At 35.8% G+C, this 20,284-nt stretch overlaps 2 long non-coding RNA genes across 4 annotated transcripts in view, besides 2 other annotated features; both read left to right on the top strand.

The window, feature by feature from the left end:
* Nucleotides 1-20,284, top strand: part of LOC107985242 (uncharacterized) — a 199,987-nt gene that overhangs the window by 57,875 nt on the left and 121,828 nt on the right. For 2 of the 3 annotated variants that reach the window (XR_001738351.2, XR_001738353.2), the window contains exon 1: nucleotides 10,259-10,370. The exons of the other annotated variant lie outside the window; for it this stretch is intronic. This is a non-coding gene — a long non-coding RNA (uncharacterized LOC107985242). Of the gene's footprint in view, nucleotides 1-10,258; nucleotides 10,371-20,284 lie in introns of those variants that run through there. 3 annotated transcript variants of the gene reach the window in all.
* On the top strand, nucleotides 20-8,727 carry LOC105371670 (uncharacterized). The gene is made up of 3 exons (XR_922390.2): nucleotides 20-59; nucleotides 7,538-7,613; nucleotides 8,586-8,727. It is a non-coding gene; the product is annotated as an uncharacterized LOC105371670 (long non-coding RNA).
* Nucleotides 10,200-10,400: a silencer, noted in NCBI's record as "peak612 fragment used in MPRA reporter construct". NCBI's record gives its function as "represses an SCP1 promoter by STARR-seq MPRAs in K562 erythroleukemia cells {active_cell/tissue: K562}" and the evidence as "EXISTENCE:reporter gene assay evidence [ECO:0000049][PMID:32103011]".
* Nucleotides 19,650-19,919: an enhancer, noted in NCBI's record as "active region_2273". NCBI's record gives its function as "activates an Ori minimal core promoter by ATAC-STARR-seq in GM12878 lymphoblastoid cells {active_cell/tissue: GM12878}" and the evidence as "EXISTENCE:reporter gene assay evidence [ECO:0000049][PMID:35858748]".

Here is a 20,284-nt window from a genome sequence, read left to right as displayed (position 1 = left end):
TCATCTCCTGGGTTCAAGAGATTCTCCTGCCTCAGCCTCCTGACTAGCTGGGATTACAGGTGTGCACCACTACACTCGGCTAATTTTTGTATTTTTAGTAGAGACGGGGTTTCACCATTGTGTGTGTGTGTGTTTGTGTGTGTGTATGTGTGTGTATACTTGGAGGAATAAATGATAAGTATTTGAGATGGTGGATATGTTACTTAGACTCAACATTCCACACTTATACGTATTATTGGATCACTTTGTATCTCATAAATATCTACAAGTATAATTTGTCAAAGTTCAATAAAATTAAATTTTAACAAAATGATGCCCCTGGCCCAGATTTACAACCCTCTACCAAAAAATTGAGAATCAGCAGAAAATTATTCTTGCAGCTTTAGAGATACAGATTTTATTTTTAAATACAGAAATGAGTTCATTTTACACTCAGAAATACGACAAGATGGGCGCTTTTCTATGTTTCTCTGTGCTTAGAAACTGAAGCTTACTTCACCCTTTATCCAGCAGTGGAATCAGGTAAAAAATATCCCAACCATGGATTTTGGAATATTTACAAGCCTAAAGAGTGGGTTAGAGAAAGGTTCCTAGACTAGAAACAGAAGAAGGAAAGAGGAACTACTAAAGGAATGGAGAAGTTAAAGGAATATGAACAACCAGAATGATAAGTATATGCAGGAAAATAAAGGGAGCCTGAAAAGGGCTCATTCCACAGGTTAAATACTTCCATGTGACAACGCCTGAGCAAAGAAGACCCATGCTCAAGATTCAGGCTCAGGGATGTACAAGCCAGGCTGTGTGCATCATGGACATATGGTTGAAATATGATTTTCCTATTGCTCACCAACTGTCTTTACACACACTTTATCTTCAGCAGGCTAATGGGACCCCTTCAACAATAACAACAGGAAGGCTAAAATTTTCAGTCTTCAATCACTTAAACCATAAACTCGTAGGGCTGTTAATCTTTCTCTGACTGCTTTCCCCAGTTAGATTGCTTTCTCTTTTGACACTTATAATCCTTTGCTTTGTTTTGTCATTTATTTGTCAGGACTACATAATGAAGATCATATTTTTTGAAAAATATTTACTTTTATATTTTAGGTTCCCTTTGTTTGGGATTATTCTTTAGTCGGCCAGAGGCAACTATTTGCTTCAGGGATAAATAGGATTTACAGGAGGACTACAAAAAGAAAGAAGTAAAAAAAAAATAGGTTCACCTTTGGATTGCTAGAGTATCATCTCATGACAATTGTTTTGAAAACCAAGCATATTCAGAAGATTTTAAAACTTTCACTTTCCATTGACATATAAAGAAACTTTTTGTTGATTAGGTCATATAAATTTAATAAATCCAGGATGTTAAGCTGAGTAAGAATTCAATTTAATATGAAATATTAAAAGCCCCAATCATAAGAGAAAGAAATAAAAAAGCCAATAATTTATAGTCCCAGAGGATACTGTGAAGGGAGAAAGGGTCAAGCTCATGAGATATATGTGTGCTGATCCCTGGAGGACTGAGAGTCTGAAGTGGGTTCAAAGGCTGAAAGGAAAACTGAGAGCACAGGGATGGATGTTAGCCTGCTTTCTGTATGTAAACTTGGGAAGAGCCTGCTATGCAGGGTGACTTTATTCCATCATGGAGGCTGATAGACCACTAGCAAGTCAAGTCTAGCATCCAGAGTGTGACATATAGATACACAATTCTGATGCAATGCTCCCTGTACATTGCATCAGGGAATTGATGCAATCAAATCAGCAGAATTGAAAGTCTGACTATGTCTATGGAGGCTATGAATACAGGCCCATTTCTGTGAAATGTTACTCTTTAACAGGCAATTTTGACTCAAGGACTCCCCATGGGGATGGCTGAACCATTCCTAGAACTGCGTTTTGATGTAAGACTCTTCCATCCAATCCTTCTTCCCTCTTCTTCTCCTTCATAGGCTACATCACAGGTAGCCCAGACCTCCATGCCACCCACCACAATTGCCCCAGTTCCTTTCCCCTGGCTTATCCTATGAGCAGAGAGAAATCTTGTTATCAGGTGGATTAGGTAAAAAAAAAAAAAAAAAAAAAAAAAAAGGCCTGCGTTTGTATTATCATTAATTGACTCTATGTGTGGGTATCAGTTGAAAATGGACTGTTGCTTCGTTATGTCATTTTTCCAAAAATTGCCTTGAAAGACAACAGTGAGGAAAAATCCTCCTTGTAGACAGAGTGATAACCAGGGCAAATGGTCATTCACTTTTTTTCAGAAAAATATGTAGCCCAAGGTGAGAATTTATATTGATTACTAGATACCCAATGGTAATGTCAATCGAGAGACCAGACATGAAGGAGGTCTGGAGTAGCAGCATATGAACAGACATATGGAAATGTATACAAAGTGTGAAGATTTTTGTATCACATTTTAACACCCATGAGAAAACATTCACTACGTAAGAGACACTCAACGATGAAATATTCAAATGTGTTGACTACTTGACATTAGTCAGCTTTCATCATTGGCTGCGCTGGAACTGGTGAAATGGCACATCAATAAAATGGCCCTGGTTGCAGTGATAGGCCCATCAGCATTAATTCCCATTTATAAAGGTTGAGTAGCTTCTGCCGCTCCTAAAGATTCAACCTGTCAGCAACAGAGACCAATGTAGCTATGTCAACATGACATTATATTTCAAGGAAACTAAAATGACACTTGGCAGCAAGTCAGCTACATTGGGACCTTTCTGTCTTTGATGTGCCAGCAGTTTGTGTGGGGATTTGACATTCCTTCTTGAAGAACCCCAGTCAGCACACTATTCAGTGGCTTATGGAATGCCTCATGCACAGTCACAGAATCCTACACAAAATAGCATCTGAACAGGCAACCCACTTCATGGTGCAGAGGTGTGTGAGTTGGCCCATGACTGTGAGATCCACTGGTTATATCATATACCACACACTCCACTAGTTATCCTCCAAGAACATTGAAGTATTCTTCTAGAGGCAGAATTGGAGCACCAACTCAGAGGCAACACTCTCCAAGGATGGATTTTTATCCTTTGTGCATATCCATTAAGTCAAAGAACACTCCACCCACCACCCGCCCATATAGTGTTCTGTCCTCAATGGGAAGAACAGATCACTGCAGAAAGCAAGGAGTAGGAATAGAAGTAGCCCCACTTCCGTTAAGTCCCAATGACTCACTGCATGATTTTATCCTCATATTTCTTGATTCTGCAAGGTTGAAGGTCTTGGATCATATTCTTGCCAGGGACCACAGCAAAGGTTTCATTAAGGACAAGCCATTGAGGTCTTGACAAATCAGAGAAATTTTGACTGCCTGGGTTCTGGGACCAGCACTCAAAAAGAAGAGTCAGTATCTTGTCAAGGTAATTAACCTTGATCACCACAATAAGGTAGGACTGTTTTTAAAGATGACTCGGGAAAGAAAGTGTAGGCACTTCAGTTGATTGACTTGGCTGCCTCCTAGTAGTCCCTTGCTCCTTTATAACTGTGAATGAGTATGTATAACAACTCTAGCCTGAGAAAGACGTGATTTCCAAGGGCTCAGAATGAATGAGTCACCCCTGAACTATTGGGTTTTAGTGGAGCCAATCATCATAATATCATCAAATCATCCCTGAAAGAAGTCTCACTTGCACATCTTAACCCACTCATTAATGGCACAATAACAAGACATTTCAAGTTCCCTGTAGCAGCACAGTAAATGTGATGGATATAGATACAGATACTTCCATTCTCTCATATACCTCTTTTTCCAAATATAGCAAATCGAATGTGTGGTCCAGTCCTCTCAAGAGAACCGGATTATACAGCCACTTGAGCATTGTTATCCAAACAAAGCCTTAAATGTTTGTATACTCCACTTTCCCTCCTGCCCCACTGTGTCCCTACCATGACTAAAGCTTTTGGTCTCTGGAATTGGAGGGACTTTGGATCTACCTTTATTATACAATCTCCCTAAAGGATAGTAAATCAGGATGTGGTGGTTCAGGGCCAGGTAGGAGAGGTGCTGAAAGGCTAATTTATCCTAGGGCAACCAGTTAACTTCTCAGTTCCTCCAGTAGGAGGAGACCAATCTCCATGGAGGAACCTCTGTTATGACATAGCCTATGTAAATCCCCAGACACATCAAGCAAATGCACCTGCCTTTTGACATAGGTAGTTTATATTTCCCTTCCTGATGTTGGACCAGAGTACTTCCCGGTCTCCATTTTTATAGGAGAACAAGCAAAAATCATGGTACCATTTGGGCTGCTTATTTCAATCCTACCTCTTACCTTTCAGTCTATTTATTTACTTACTCCTATTTATTAACTAGTGCAGCACTCAAGATCCACTTATTCTGCCCCATCCACTGTCTTCCAACACTTGAGCAAGAGCAATTCATATCACTGAAACTGGCACATAAGGCCCTTGTCTTTTCTCCTCTGGGAAAAATAAAAAAAAGTTTGTATATCTCAACAACCCTCCCCTTGTGTCTGTCAGGAAAGTGCTCCAACCTCAAAGACAAAGGCAGGACTAAGCTTGCCACAACTCCAAAGGCATCAGTGAGACTTGGCGAATAATAGGAAGTCTGCATATTAATACTCACAGCAGAAACATAAACATGGTTATATCAGTTCTCCCCTTCTCCAAGTCTCATAAGGTATCTCAGTATCCCAGATGAGACTAAAAGAGTGCATTGTGATGCAGCTAAAGAACTGAGGGCCGAAGACCTAGCATCTTTTGTGGCAGGCAGCAAAAATGACAGTTTCCTTTCTAGTGAGTGGACAGTTATACAGTAGCCATGCTGTGCTGGTCTTCACCTATTTGGTTGCCACATAATTAGATACAGAAACTGCTCACAGTCAGACAGTGGTTAGCCATTTGCAATTTGGCACACTTGACAAGGACATACAGGAATGCTCGGGGGATATGGTGAACTGCCTCTCCCAATAAGTAACTGCTTCCAAAACCTGCATATAGAAGTAGATTTGTGTTGTATGAAGCATCGCCTACAGTGGCCGAGAAAATAGACCACACAGTTCTCTATTATTGGGGTAAAATCGATAGTCACTGCTGCTGCCTTCCTCGGATCCATCATTTTCAAATAGAGACCACCCTTCCTGGGCTCCTTCTAGCCAACAACTGGGCATGCTGGTAGTAATAATGCAGACTAATTTCTGAGAGACACACAACTCTGCCAATGGAAGACTTTAGCTCAATGACTCTTTATATGACTGGCAGAAATTTTCTTAGAACCGCATTACAGTCTGAGACTCTCCACACCAACTCTTCCTTCCCTTCTCCTTCACAGGGGTCAAACCTACACATCATGATCTGCAAGCTCACCCTCCTTTCTCTGCCTCTCTCCTCTATCATCAACCAGTTGTTTCCCCCAATAAGTCTTTTGTATGTCTAGTGCTATGTTGGGTCCTGCTTCCTAAGTGGACATAACCTAGCACATCTCCTGAAAGACAAAGAGGAAGATGTCATCTTCTCTGATGGAGACGATTATCAGATGTCTTTACCATGAAGAATAGTAATGTTTTACTAAAAGCTAGAGAGCAGCTTATGTAAGCCAAGTGAGAGAGTCATTAGTAGGGCCCACAGTACCTATGAGGAATGAGTGAAGGGGTTGGTCAGCACTATTCATGTAAAGAGAACAGGCCACAAGTTACACCAGTCCAAATGTGCATTTGCCTGGGAAGAGGTGGTGGTTAGGCCAGTGGCCCTCAGCAACAGCTCTCAGTGTCTCAGATGGGCTGGGCCAGACAGAGCACAGCAGAGAAAGCACAGCAACCAGCATGAGATCCAGCCATGCTGCCTCCCACAGCCAAGAAGACCACACTTTTTTCTCAATGCCTAATGAGAAAATGAAGAGCAGGAGAAAATAGTCTTGGAATGAAAACTTGCATGGAATTTAGTTGTGTATCTTTTCCTTTTCTACCCCCGCCAGCCTCCTACTTTGGGGATCAGGATTTGTAATGAGACTGACTGTACCAATTAGAAGAAACACATGTTCTGTTTTCTTTTTACAGCTTTGGAGTGAGTCAATTCCTGAAGTTAGTAGAAAATAGATTCCAAATAGTAAGATATTATATATGTGTATGATTTGCACGTCTTTCTGTTGCAGGATAGTATTTTACACTGATTTTATTGATTGCTACAACTTTCAAATTCCTTAACTTGATTTCAAGACATTCCATAGTCTTGTCCTACCCTACGCATATCTACTTTTATCCAAATATCCTACATATTTTTTTCACTACTGCCTAATGGAGTCTTTCTGGCCATGTTGGCCTCATTACTGTTTCATAGACATAATAAGCATATGGTGCATAGGGTATACAGCCATAATCACTTAACTTGCAGCCAGAATGTTTTCATTTCAATTATGCAAACATGCATACAAAAGTTATGAACTAAGGATGTTACTGAGCTTCAGATCACTTTTCTAAAGAAAAGAAATTATAATACTTGCCTCCTTTATTGAGTTGTTGTAAAGACCAAAGTTAAACAAGAAAAAGCATAAGCAAATACATTATAAGTTGAAAATGCTATGTAACTGTAATTGTTATCAGTAAATATCCTCTTGTGTTTTTTTAAAACTTTGTGGACCCAATCCGTATATCAATGCCCAACTCAAGTTTTACATAATTCCTGGAGACTGCCCTTTCATATGGAGAGCTTCAGAAAACAACAGTGCTTTCCCCAACAATAAATTATGCGAGGAACTTAGGGGATAAATATTCCGGAGATGAGTTACTGTACAGCCTGGGTGGAGGACCCTCATGTGGTCTCTATCCTAGCAGCAACTGGTAACTCACTAGAAATGCAAATTCCTGGGCCCTATCACAGACCTACTGAATCAGACACTCAGGAGGAGGGAGCATGGAGTGAAGGCCAGTGATCTGTGTGTTAACACACCCTCAGGGTGATCCTGAAGCATAATAATCTTGAAAACCCCTGTTTTTGGGTATGAGCATTGAATATTTGTTCATCATTTCATCTTCTACAGTTTATACTGTGGCTAAACTATTTGAGGGTTTCAATAAAAGATTTTTTTTCTCTGCAATATCTGATGATCTCAGTCTTTGGGTCATAGTATGAATCATACAATTTACGGATGTCTTTACTCTCTTTTACTCTCCCCTAAAATTTTCTAGGACTAAAGATTATTGAATACAAATAAAGATAAATAAACAAATAAACCTTAACAAGATGAGGAAAACAATCCTCTAAATTCGTATATCTAGTCATTACCAGAATATTTCTGACTGTATTCACATATACTTTCACATTATATGTCCTTAAGTGTTTCTTTGTACAATTTATTTTTAGCCATATTACTGCAGCAGAATTGCAAAGCCTCAAAATTTGTATAAGCAGTAATAATTCTTATTTTTATATAATTATTTTTATAAGTTAAATGAAACACCTATCCTATATGTAGATTAAAAGATTAAATAATAGCCCTTACAATAATATTAATTATTTACTTACAGTTAGTGATTGATAATATTACTTGTATATATTCCAGACTTACAGAACATTTTTCCTGAGAGATGATCAAGCTTCCATGGGTTGTTTTCAGTCCTGGATTTATAATTCCAGAGGTATAGAAAATATTGTTGAATGTTATTATTTACTTCAGAATTTAACAGTAAATACACGTTTTAGAGAGTGAAGCGTAATTAAGTAAATTCCCTAGATGATGTCAAAAATATTAATAGTCCATGTATGTTTAATTATATGAATGCAAGTTCTGTTATTTGTGTGAGAAAATTAAAACAAATGTTACAAGCAGAAAATTGCTTATAGAGTGTCATCAATTAAGGCTGACATTTGTCTCTATCATAAGACTATAATTTATGTTTTTATACTTTATATTCAGTATTAACAATAAAACCTATTTGCATATGACTATAATTAAACTAGCATTTATCTTTAAATTTTTTATAAGCATTTAAAAGATGTTACATGTTTTTATCCACTTGTACCATTCAAGTAAATAACTATAGATTAGGCTTAGATCAGCTTGTTACCCAATAACAGAATTTGTTGGCTTTCATGTTTTATGGAAAACTGACTGCTGTTCAGACTATTGACACTAAACTGTAGGGAGTATTTTCACTGACTATACCCTGGTGTTAATATAATCTATAACTTTCAGTAAAAATATTAATGTTTTTAGAATTTTAGATACCAGGGTGTTTCAATCCATCATTTGTATTCCTTTTTATGAGATAAATGAATCCAAATTTCAGTGTACAATACCTGCTGTAAAATGTTTATATCAAATGTAAAATATAGACAGCAGTAAAATATGGGATGTGAAAGATTTAGTAATTTTTTTATTTCTTGTCAAACAGTAGGATAATATTTAGAGATAAGAGGCAAAATTTATCCTGAGTAAGGGAAAGTTATTCTGCCTTTTAAAATGTTCGTAAGCCTATCCAAGGTTTCAGTATTTTTGTGTGTTTTTTATTATTAGAGGAAAGTTAACAATTCCCTTTGATCTTAATGATGTTACATCATTGTAGCATGAAAGGAATAGTATAACCTCAACCAACTTTTTCTGTATTTAGTTTTCAGCAGTGCTGACAATTGTCTATGCCATGATAAAAAGAGAACGAAAATGTGTTGGAAGAGGCACCTGGGAGTGTAGTTGTCTCAGAGGGAACACCACATTTGTTCCTATGACACATTTTCATTGAAAGAAAAAAGAAAAAGAAGAAAGAAAAAGAAAGAAAGAGAGAAAGAAAGAAAGCAAGCAAGATAGCAATCAAGCAAGCAAGGAAGGAAGAAGAAAGCATCTTTTCTATTTCCCTTTCTTTTTATTTCTGTGTCTTTATTTCTCCTCTCTCTCTCTTCCACTTACTCCTCTCTTCCTCTCCCCTTCCTTCCCTCTCATCCTCGCCCCTTCTCTTCTTCTTTTTACCCCTACCCCCACCACCTTGTTTCTAGTCTTCCACAGTATTTTCTTACTAATACAAGGAGTGACTTAGTCCTGGTTAGAACAAATATCATAGAACGTCTTTACACTAAGCCTAGAGGTTTGCCTGTTGAAAGAAAACCACTAACTAAGTTTATCAAGGCATTGATCACCACCACCCCATTTACATGCTTTAATATTATATAGTATGCACCACATGACGTTAAAACATCAGGTTAAATTGCTTTTCTTTCAGAATAAACAGAGGCAAAAAGATGTAGTTATAATGTGTAGTAAAGTTTCTACATCTGCAGGATATACTCCTTTTTAAGACTTATTATTTTGATGATGGTGTACAATAAATCTCATTACTTGTGGGAGCCAAAAAGTTAACTGCTAATTCCATGGGTACCAAGGGGGCTGGACCCTATTACCAATTGTCTAGTACTAAGAATGACCTCATTATGTTATGATAAAAATTTTTAGCACATTCTAGACACTGAAAGACAGAGGTAAGTAAAGCCAGGTTAATCAAAATAGGGATCTTATAGCCTAGTAGAAGAGGTAACCCATAGAAAACAGATTTTTATACAGTACACTAAGTGATGATATAATGGTATGTTTAGGTTGCCATCGTAAATGAGGTAAATTCAACTCATATCAGAGATCCAGGAAAGGAGTTTAAAGGAAATACTTAATATGAGTCTTTAATAATAAATACAAAATTTTAAAATAAAGAATGGAAAAAAGTCATTTTCCTTCAGCACACTGTCAGAACATCACAAAGATGTGAAAATAAATATTTCATGTAGGAAATTCTGGCTTGTTCTGTTGCAGAAGCCTTACTCCTTAGCTTAGCGAGGTCTGAGTTCTTGTCTCACCACCACGATGAATGAGGTACATGGACATAGGAGGGTGAGTATGGCAGAATAGACTTTATTAAGTGACAGAAAGCGCTCAGTAAGGAGAGGGGACTCAAAAGTGGGTTGCCCTAGGGGATTAAAAACCTCATTTCTAGGGGTGTGTTTCTCATTTGCATCTTGCACAACCTTTTACTTCCTAGTTGCTTCCTGGTCCCAGTTCTTACTGCCCAGGTGCGTTCTTGTCCATAGTTATTCCATCTTAATTATTATGCATAAGCACCACAGAAAGGCCCAGTGGGTAGTAGGGGTGGTGGTGGTGAAACCACAATGCAGATGTCATGCTAATGATATTATAATGAGCTTGAGTCAAGTTAAGGACATTTAGTTGATTTATTACACCTGCGCCTAAGTTGGGACAGTCCCTTCTGAGCAAACATTCTGGTATAAGAGGAAGTTCTTAACCACATTTCCATCTGCTAGCTGCATAACAGGGGCAATGCAGGTGCATTCCTGCATGCATTGTCTCTCTCATGAAGCCCTACATCTCCATCGTACCACTTGCATACATAAAAAAGGTAAGTGAGATTAAAGATACACTTGGATAGAAGCAGGTCACAAGGGCTCTTGTGTTTTGTTAGAAATATCAGCATTATTATAATTTGAAATATGTTGTAATGAGCATTTATATGACACTTCTATATTTCCCCAAGAACCAGCTGCATATTTTTAAATATTGTATGTTTAAGATTTTCAAGAGGCTTGTAAATTTTTTGAGTTTCATAATCTTTAACAATGCAAACCAAAATACTTAATCAGTTCTTACTTAGTCATTTATGAAGTTACCCATGGGAAAATTATGTTTACTGATATTTTAACCCTGTTTCTATCACTTACTTATTCATCCAACTTCCAAAACCAGTGTTCTTTGGCCCTTCTCCTCAGTTTGTTTTGTTAATAAAAGTTATAAATTTAAAAAATAATAATAATAGAAAAATACATCTGTAACAAGCCATTATTTTATGCTATTTCTCTTCTTCCCAAATTTGGACTAAAAAGGATTTAAATATAAATGTTTGTTTTAAGTTTTTTATTTTATTTTAGTTCAGGTATTGGTTTTTACTGGAGAGGTTAGAGAAAGTGATTTCAAAGGGCAAAATCAACTCAAAATTGTAAAAGGAGAAAATGGAAAAAAAAAAGCGATGATATTCATGACTGATTATCTCCTTCAAGAAAGGAGGGAGGAAATGAAATGTGCTCAGTCTTCTCTTGTAATCTCTTTTCCCAAAGTTACCTCTTGACATTTTTGGATGTTCTGTCACAAGAAAGTTGATCTTTCCATTTCTTTGGTTACTTAGCTTTTAATCTATCTGTTTGCATACATGCTAGAGAGCGATGAGTGATTTGTCGTCTACATAGAAGTGGAAATTTATAGTCTGAAAGAAAATAATAGTTTTCTTTTCTTTTATCTGTTTTATTATTTTCATTATTTGAAATTCTAGTAAGTAATATTCTTCCTTCAAAGTAGCTGTCACTTACAGCTTTCTTAACCTGAGTCTCAGAAAGAATTCAACAAAGCTGTATCTTTCTGTCTTTAAAATATTATTTCTTCCTGTTTCTATCAGTCACTTATGTCATAATAAATATTAAAACTGACAGGCAATATATTTTAAGTGCTACTGTAAAAGCATTGTTTTGCTATAAATAAACAAGCTCATTTCTCTAGGACTTAAATAGGAATACAGATTTGATACATTCTCTTCCCCTATTAAACATCTGTGGCAAGATGCCATTAGGGAGTTGTTAGATTTGCTGGAATTTTCCACTATGCCAGATATTAAATTACCTGTCATATGTGTTCTGAAGTATACAGAAGGTTGTAATCGTATAAGGATGCTGAATGTGCTGACATTTTCATTGCCCTGAATATAAGTAAACATAATTATTGGCTCTTCCTATAGGGTTTTAATTGATATGTTGACCAGTAGCCATGAGTGGGTTTGTGAAGACAACAGGATATAAAAATGGATGTCTTTACAAATCCACTGTCTTTTGTAAAGAAATGCATCATAGAGCAATTATAAAATAATTTGCATTATTTTATATCATTAAATTAATATCAGGGTATAGGTTATGAAAACTACATGATTCAAAATAGACACTATAAAAAAAGAATGCTGTTGGAGTGGGAAGAGGCCAAATGAGCAGCCACCATTTTGCACCTCTACTGTGGCATGGCCACGTTGCACAGTGCTCAGTCAGGAAATGCGATTTACACATCCAACTCCTAGCCTATTCTTCCCAATTACTATGATTTTCTTCCTGCTTTTGTCACTATTTCTGAGTTCCCATTTATCTAGTACACTGGGATTGGGTAACTGCAACTCTGGATACTTAATAATTAAAAAATTGCATTATTAGGAATGATATTCGACTTCCCACATAGATTCTTGTGTTTTTCTCAAGTCTTTTTTCATGTTCTGTATTGAAATCTATCCCCGTATAATCAACCTACTTTCCATGTTTCTGGGTCTCTGAATAAATTCCTTCTTGGATTTGTCTGTACATAATGGCATATTGTGGCTATTTTCCCATTCTCATATATTTTATGAGGAGAGGTCTTGCAATTCTCAAGGCAAATCAGGAATGATCTGCCATGTTTTAGTTCAAAAATTACTTCTGGATGAGCACAGTGGCTCCCATCTGTAATCCCAGCAGTTTGGGAGGCTGAGGTGGGAGTATCACTTGAGGCCAGGAGTTTGAGACTAGCCTGGGCAACATGGCAAGACCCTGTCTCCACAAAAATTTCAAAAAACCAAAAACTCAGCCAGATGCAGTGGTGCACACCTGTAGTACCAGCTACTCCAGAGGCTGAGGCCAGGAGAGTTAATTGAACCCAGGAGTCAGAAGTTGCAGTGAGCTACGATCATGCCACTGCACTTCAGACTGGGAAATAAAGCAAGACTGTATCTCAAAAAAAAAAAAAAAAAATTACTTCTGTCATTAAACTGGTACATAAATTCAATAATATGTAGGAATGAAAAACATCCTTAAAGTTGTAAGGATTGGTCCGGCACGGTGGCTCATGCTTGTAATCCCAGCATTTTGGGAGGCCAAGGCGGGTGAATCACCTGAGGTTGGGAGTTCGAGACTAGCCTGACCAACATGGAGAAATGCCGTCCCTACGAAAAATACAAAAAAATTAGCTGGGTGTGGTGGTGCATGCCTGTAATCCCAGCTTTTCAGGAGGCTGAGGCAGGAGAATCATTTGAACCCAGAAGGCAGAAGTTGCAGTGAGCCAAGATGGCGCCATTGCGCTCCAGCCTAGGCAACAAGAACGAAACTCTGTCTCGAAAATAAAATAAAATAAAATAAAATAAATTGTAAGGATTATTGTGATTTCTGATTGAAAATTCAAATATCTACATTGTTTAAATATATATAACTCTGGGACTTTGCTTTTCAGAATCACTCACTTTTTCATTCATTTATTAATTATTCATATTAAAATAACTTAATGATAACCTAATATTTGCCAAGCTCTATTCTAATCACAGATCTATCTGCAGAAATCTCTGTAAAAATATACAATATAAATGTATAAAGACTTCTGCTTTGTAGAGCTTACATTTTAATGAGAAATACCAATGAACCAAGATAAGTACCAATAAGATACCAGTAAGAAGCTTATAAGGCCCATGAAAAGAAAAACTAGTACAAAATAAGGGAAATTGAGAGTGTGGGGTGGGGTGGGGCGGGCATTTGCATTGTGTAGTGGAGATAGCAGGTAAAGCAAATACCTATTGTCTTCATATGTTTTACATTAGCAAGGGGTCAATGTGGATGGAGTGGATGAGGGAAAAAATAGTTAGAATTAAAGTTAAGAAGAGGGGAAAGAAGGAGGGGTATTTTAGGTAATAAAGAGTGTTGAAAGTGACTATGAAGATTTTAGGCTATAAGTGAAATTAGGAACCATTGTAATGCTCTAAGCAGAGGTTTGACCTCCCTCCTTTACATTTTAACAAGATTACTCTGGATGTGATATTGGGAATGGTTTGTGAGGTGAAAATGCAGAATAAAGGAGACCTTTTTGAAGGTTCCTCTAGTATTTTAGGTGCGAGATGTTGGTGGTTTAAACTACTGTAGCAGTGGAAGTAAAGAAAACTGGTCAGATTCTAGACATATTTTGAAGGCAAAGCCAAAATAATTTTGTAATAGACAGAATGTGTGATGAGAAAGAAATCAGAAGACCAAGGATGATTCATCTGGAGTTTTGACCTATTATCTGGATTTCACTAGAAATTTAAGAGATGAATCAAAAATTATTACTGATCTGTGAAGTAGCAAAAGATAATTTTATTTTTCTCACGAAGCTTCAAATCTAATTGTACAAAAATAATCATTTAGGAAGTAATAAAACATTTGAACATCAAATTGATGTTGTGATTTTGACTGTGAATACAATAAAATTTACACTAAACTGCAAGGCCTTCAAATGTCAGTACCAGAACTTATTAAGTTATCAAACACGTAGTGCTTGGAACATACAATGTACTCTATTAACTAAACTTTTCAGAACAGAAGGTTAGAGACTACACATGCTTCATGGAGAGAATGTCAAATTTGTTTTCTTCTTAAAATAAAAGCAGGGTTTATAAAGCTGAAATTCTTATACTATCAGGGAAGCAAAGGGAAACAACAGGAACTTATCCAATAAATGTCTTTTTTTTTTTTTTTCAAATACATGTTTACTGACAATCAATTCTGTGCCAAAGATAAGAATAAAGAATAGGTTTTGGAAAAACAAAGAATTCATACAAAGAAACATACGCATTTTGTACCACTATTAAACACATCATAAAATATCATGAGTTATTTCAAACAAGATACAATTAAGTTCAAATTTGAATTTTTCCTACATTATTAAGACTATGTACACATGCATATATGTGGACATGCATAATTACATTTATGATTATGTATTCATGTTTGCTGAGCAGCCCACTGCTTTTACATATAATTTATTCCTGAAAGCGACTGAAAAAAACCAACTGTTAAATTTCAACAGATTTAAAGTTGTGGTTATGTGTAGATGTTGGTCATGGTCATGGCACTGTTGTAAAGAACAACTAAAAATCAAATCAAAAAAACTAATTATTCATAATTTTAAGCATTATTTTATGCCTGTAAGTCTATATGCTTTTCAATTATATCATTTTTTTAAATTGAATTGTAGCCTACATGTTGAAATGTAGTGATGTCCTATTAAGGTTCAAATTATGCCATATTAAGCATGGAAGAAAATGCAATTTTGCCATAATTTTATAAGAAGGACACCTATTATTAGTTACAATGGGTTTTTCCATGTTTTCTTTATTTTTCTAAAATGTAATAGTAGAAGTTACTTGCTGAAATAAATGCACACACACAAACACAACAGTGAAACTGCCAAAACTGAAAGTTTGCTCACCAAAGATTGTCCACGTTTTTATCAGCTGATAGTAACAAAATCCGAATTCTAGATAAAATTTTGGCTTAACAGTATCAACGGATACTTCCATTATAGGCCTTAATAAAATTATCATATAAGAATATTACACATCAGAAAGTTTCAGAAATATACTTACGAAGGTTGAGGATTTCCTTACAAAATGTTTAAGAACCTCTGAGTTTCTCGACTGCATCTAAAGAACTGATAATACTCAGTATGTATTTCAAACACGACTATCAAAAAACAGTCTTTCTAAATGCCGTAAAAAATAAACTAGGCATTATTTCCCATGTCATTGCTTTGCTTACGTTCACCTTTTCTGAGCTATATATATTCTTAATTTTATTGTTTCTTAATTTTATTGTTCCTAGATTTAGTTTCTAAATACTGAGGAAATGCATCTTTCTTAAGTCTTAAATGTATATCTCTGTTTTAATGGTGTCCCAATCAGCACAAATAGCCATGTACCTGTTAGTCTAAAATATTAGAGGATAAATTAGTATGAATGGGCAGAACAACTTGTTGTATTTCACAAGAAGAGAAAATGTTTCACACGGAATGTACTTCTCAAAATATAGCCAAAGAAATGCTACCCTCTCTTGCATGCTAAATTGCAGATATGCAGGTTTTCCCTATACCAGTCACAATCCTAGGCCTCTTCCATCACACCGTTAAGGGATAAAAACATCAACAACTTCCTCAGTTTATACCAAAGTTTCAGAACTACTGATTTAGGAGAACTGTTAATATTGCCACAGTCACAGCAAATCCAAAAATAGCTTTTGGGGGAATATTTTCTCCTGCCCTGAGATCCTTTAAACCTTTTAAACCATTTACCCGGATTGTTCATAAATATAAATCATAGATGCTTTGTAATGTTCAAGAAGATTGCTATAAGACTCCTTCCTCAGATTCCAGCTGATCGTCTTGCTTATCTTGTGTCCCCGTTTCTTTTCTTTTTTTTTTTTCTGTGACAGAGTCTCGCTCTGTCGCCCAGGCTGGAGTGCAGTGGCGCGATCTCGGCTCACTGCAAGCTCTGCCTCCCGGGTTCATGCCATTCTCCTGCCTCAGCCTCCCGAGTAGGTGGGACTACAGGCGACAGCCACCATGCCCGGCTAATTTTTTGTATTTTTAGTAGAGGCGGGGTTTCTCCGTGTTAGCCAGGATGGTCTCGATCTCCTGACCACCTGATCTGCCTGCCTCAGCCTTCCAAAGTGCCAAGATTACAGGCATGAGCCACCGCACACGGCCCCGCCATTTCTTTAGTACTGACTCCATCTGACTGTCTGACCTTGACTTGAATCTATAACTACAGTACAATATGTGAGCTTCTGGATTCATGTATTATTTGTTTTTCTTTTTGGTCTTACTTTACAAAACGACTTTTACTTGGCTGATCCATTTTGTTTTCCTGTTTTCACACCACCCTTACCACCAACGGAAATGAATATTGAGCCACTTCGATATTTCTTTCAAGATAGTGGAGGAGTAAAAGTTGCACAAGGTGGGGGTTGGAACTAAAAAATTTTAGACATTAATGTGACTACATGCAGAAAATTATTCTCTAAGTTGATAGTTTCTAGACGTTTGGATTTGATAGACTAACAAAGCATCCTTTTGTGGATTGATACAAATTTAACAACATTTACCAAGTAAGACTATTAAAATAAGAGTTATTATCTAATATAATTTTATTTTAAATATAAAATTTAACCTACAAAAGAAAAAAAGTCATAACTTTTTAATTCATTCCATAAATGTTTACTAAAGACTTATTAAATGCCAGAGACACTTTTAGGTCTTTGGGATATGTGCCAACGTAGACCAATCCTTTAAATGAAATAAAATTGTCTATGAAATATTAAACTGTTTTTTGTCTTTCTTATTCTATAAAAAAAAATGTCCATGGAGTAAACTTTCCAGATATGTAATGGTAATCATTTTAAATCAATTTACTGAATTAAATGATTTTAAATGTTGGTAAATGATACTACTGAGAAAGCATGCTTACGTTTAAATTAACATGTTATGTAAAAGTGAACCAGATTAATGGAATTTCATTTAGTGATGTAAAATATTTTATAAGCAGCTTTCCATTTAATTATCTTCACAGCCTTATACTTCTAAAGTTGGACAAAGAGTTAAGAGTTAAGAGAAAAGCAAGTAAATAAAAATAGGAAGAATTTCATCATTTCTAAAAGAAGTGATAATAGAGCTTTTGGAGCAGTACTGAACAAAGACGTACATAATATCTGTATTAAGAAAAGAAGTTTGTGTTTTACCTAATTAAAGATAGCAAACAAAACAAAAGATCCAATGTGTTAAGTGTATATTTGGGAATATTAAAATTAATGCTGCATCTTCAGTTTAGGCCTAAATAAGAAATTATTCTAGTGTATTTAAATGTATATTTAATTTGCAACAAAAATCAATTTTCACTTACACCATTAGGAGTAAATCTCTTATGCAACAGGAAGAGCATCTGCAATAAAATAGTCCCAGAGAAAACACTGATTATAGATCTCCCAAGAAAAGCATAAAATTAGATATGACATACTTCACAAAAAAAGGAGAATAAAGCTAATTTATTCTTGTTCTTCCGTGTTTACAGACATCACACCATAGCAGTTTATTTATAGTTGGCCATAAAGTTTTAGGAAGACTCAAGATTTTATTGTCAAAGAAAAACAGGTAGCATTTGTTAAGGGCTCTCTATGTTCAAAAAGCACAGTGGTAAATCCTATGGAAAAGATAAAAATGAATGAGATTAAGACCTTTATTCACAGAATTCACAATGTAATGTGGTAGATAATTTTTTAAATTACAATAGAGGGTAGTGGGTGCTAGATACAGTAATACACTGTATAAATAGAAAATTGAAAATACTTTTTCTTCCTCTGGAAGTAACAGAGGCCTTGATAGAGTAGGTAAATTTTGTGTTGTATTTTATTCTTAATAAAGAATGAGTAGGAATTCAATGTGGAAAATAGAGCAGCAATTAAGAGTGAGAAATCTAGAAAGAACCATAAGTTCCTCTTAAAAGGAGTAGCAGAGAAAGATTTAGTGTGAGTGGTTTATGTGTTGAGGGTTGAAGATTTAAGAGTCATGTTAGGGAGTTGGTCTTTGAAGCTGTCGTGTGATTTAGATAGTCCAAAGTGACTGTGTAAAGTAAGAAGAAAAGAGGGCTAAAAATAATCCCTGGGAGATGGTTTTTCCTTTCTCTTCTTTTATTTATTTATTTTTAACCTGAGGAGAAAGAAGAGCTGCTAACGTGTGCTTAGAAAAAATAATCGCAGATTTAGAAAGGGATTATTATGAAAGATAAACCTAAAAAGGATTTACAAAATAATGACATGAAAGAAAACAAAATAAATATGCAGGATGCTGTCAAAAGAATTAAATGCTTCAGAAAAAGTTGAAGAGAATGAGGACTGAGAATGGGCTATGGAGATTAACAATAAAGGTGGACATCAGTGAACTTTGAGAAAATACCATCTTGATAACTCGGGTTGGATGACAGACTTCAGGTGCTCAGGTATAAATGTAAACAGTAGCATAAGAAAGATACTCTGAAAATATAAACTGATTTCAATTTGACTATTTTATAAGATTTCCTGTTTTCTATGAGAGTTAATTTGCACAATAGGAAAGATCTTTAGATCTTATATTTAATTTAGTATATTCATAGTTCTCTGTTACCTACTATGGTTTCAGGCCCCTTGAGGCATTTCATGTTTTATATTTTATGGTCAGTCAATTGTCAGTGAAGGCCAATAATTCAGACATTGGAAAATGTTGACCCCGTTCTATAAAACACTTTATCGTATCTCTTCTCTTTCCACTTCAGCTGACCTTCAGCGCAACCAGTTCTTAAGTGAGAACAAATAGATGAAGTTTGTTCAGCTCTGTCCTAGGTCAATGGAGATGATAGGATTCTAACATAGCGGAGGTCAGGAAGCATCTCTTAAACATGGGAGGTCATGTGGATGCAATTATCCGAGTGCAGTTATCCTAATGGGCCACAAGGCTGAAGTAGCATCCATGGGGCCTTGATCTATAGAGGTCTCTGGTGGTAGGGAGTTGACTATTATATTCCTGAGGCTGAAATAAATGAAAAGCCAAAGAAAGTACTGTTTGACTTACAAAAGAAAACACCATCAAGAAAACAAGAGCAGGTGTGTGTGTGTGTGTGTGTGTGTGTGTGTGTGTATGGAAATATCACCTCATTGGTATATACACATATTTAAATATATGCACACTGTAAATATATGTGTGTGTATATATACATATATGTGTGTGTATATATACATATATATGTGTGTGTATATATACATATATATGTGTGTGTATATATATATATTTGCCAATGTCTAGTATATGGTATTTCTGTACCTCTAAGAGGAAGGTTTCATAGAACCAAGAACCAAGAAGTGAGAAGAAAATTACCCATTGTTACCATTATATCCAGTGATGCATATGATGAATTTGTACTTCAGGCACAACTGAAGTAAAGATGTTTAGTATTTGTTTTCTACTTGTCACGGTTATTCTCTGTTCCTCTTGCATTCCTTACTTGGTTACTTGGTTTCTTTTTTAGTATAATTTCGTTAGTCTTTCTTGTTTCCCTTTTTATAGCTTTCAAGTATTCGTTGTTTTATTATTATTTCAGTGTTTACCATATTATTTATCACACTACTCATGTACATTTTACACTTATTATAGTCTAAGATAAATTACTTGTTTTACAATTTTCTAAACAATGCAGGGGCTTTAGAACACTTTAACTCCATTATGTCCCTCCCAGCCTTTCATGGTATTGTCGTCAGGTAGTGCATGTGTATATTTTAAACCCAGAAGTCATCCTTGATTTTGAAGCAGTAAAAATTAATTTATTTATCTACATAGTATTCTTTTCCCTTGTTCATTATGCCTTCCTCTGCCTTCCTGTGTTCATATTGAGTCATTATACTTTGGAAATGTCCTTTTATATTCCCTTTACTG

The sequence above is a fragment of the Homo sapiens genome, chromosome 1, assembly GCF_000001405.40.
Source record: "Homo sapiens chromosome 1, GRCh38.p14 Primary Assembly".
NCBI lineage: Eukaryota > Metazoa > Chordata > Mammalia > Primates > Hominidae > Homo > Homo sapiens.
The sequence above is the reverse complement of the archived record's forward strand: the minus strand, read 5'-3'. Positions and strand labels throughout refer to the sequence as shown.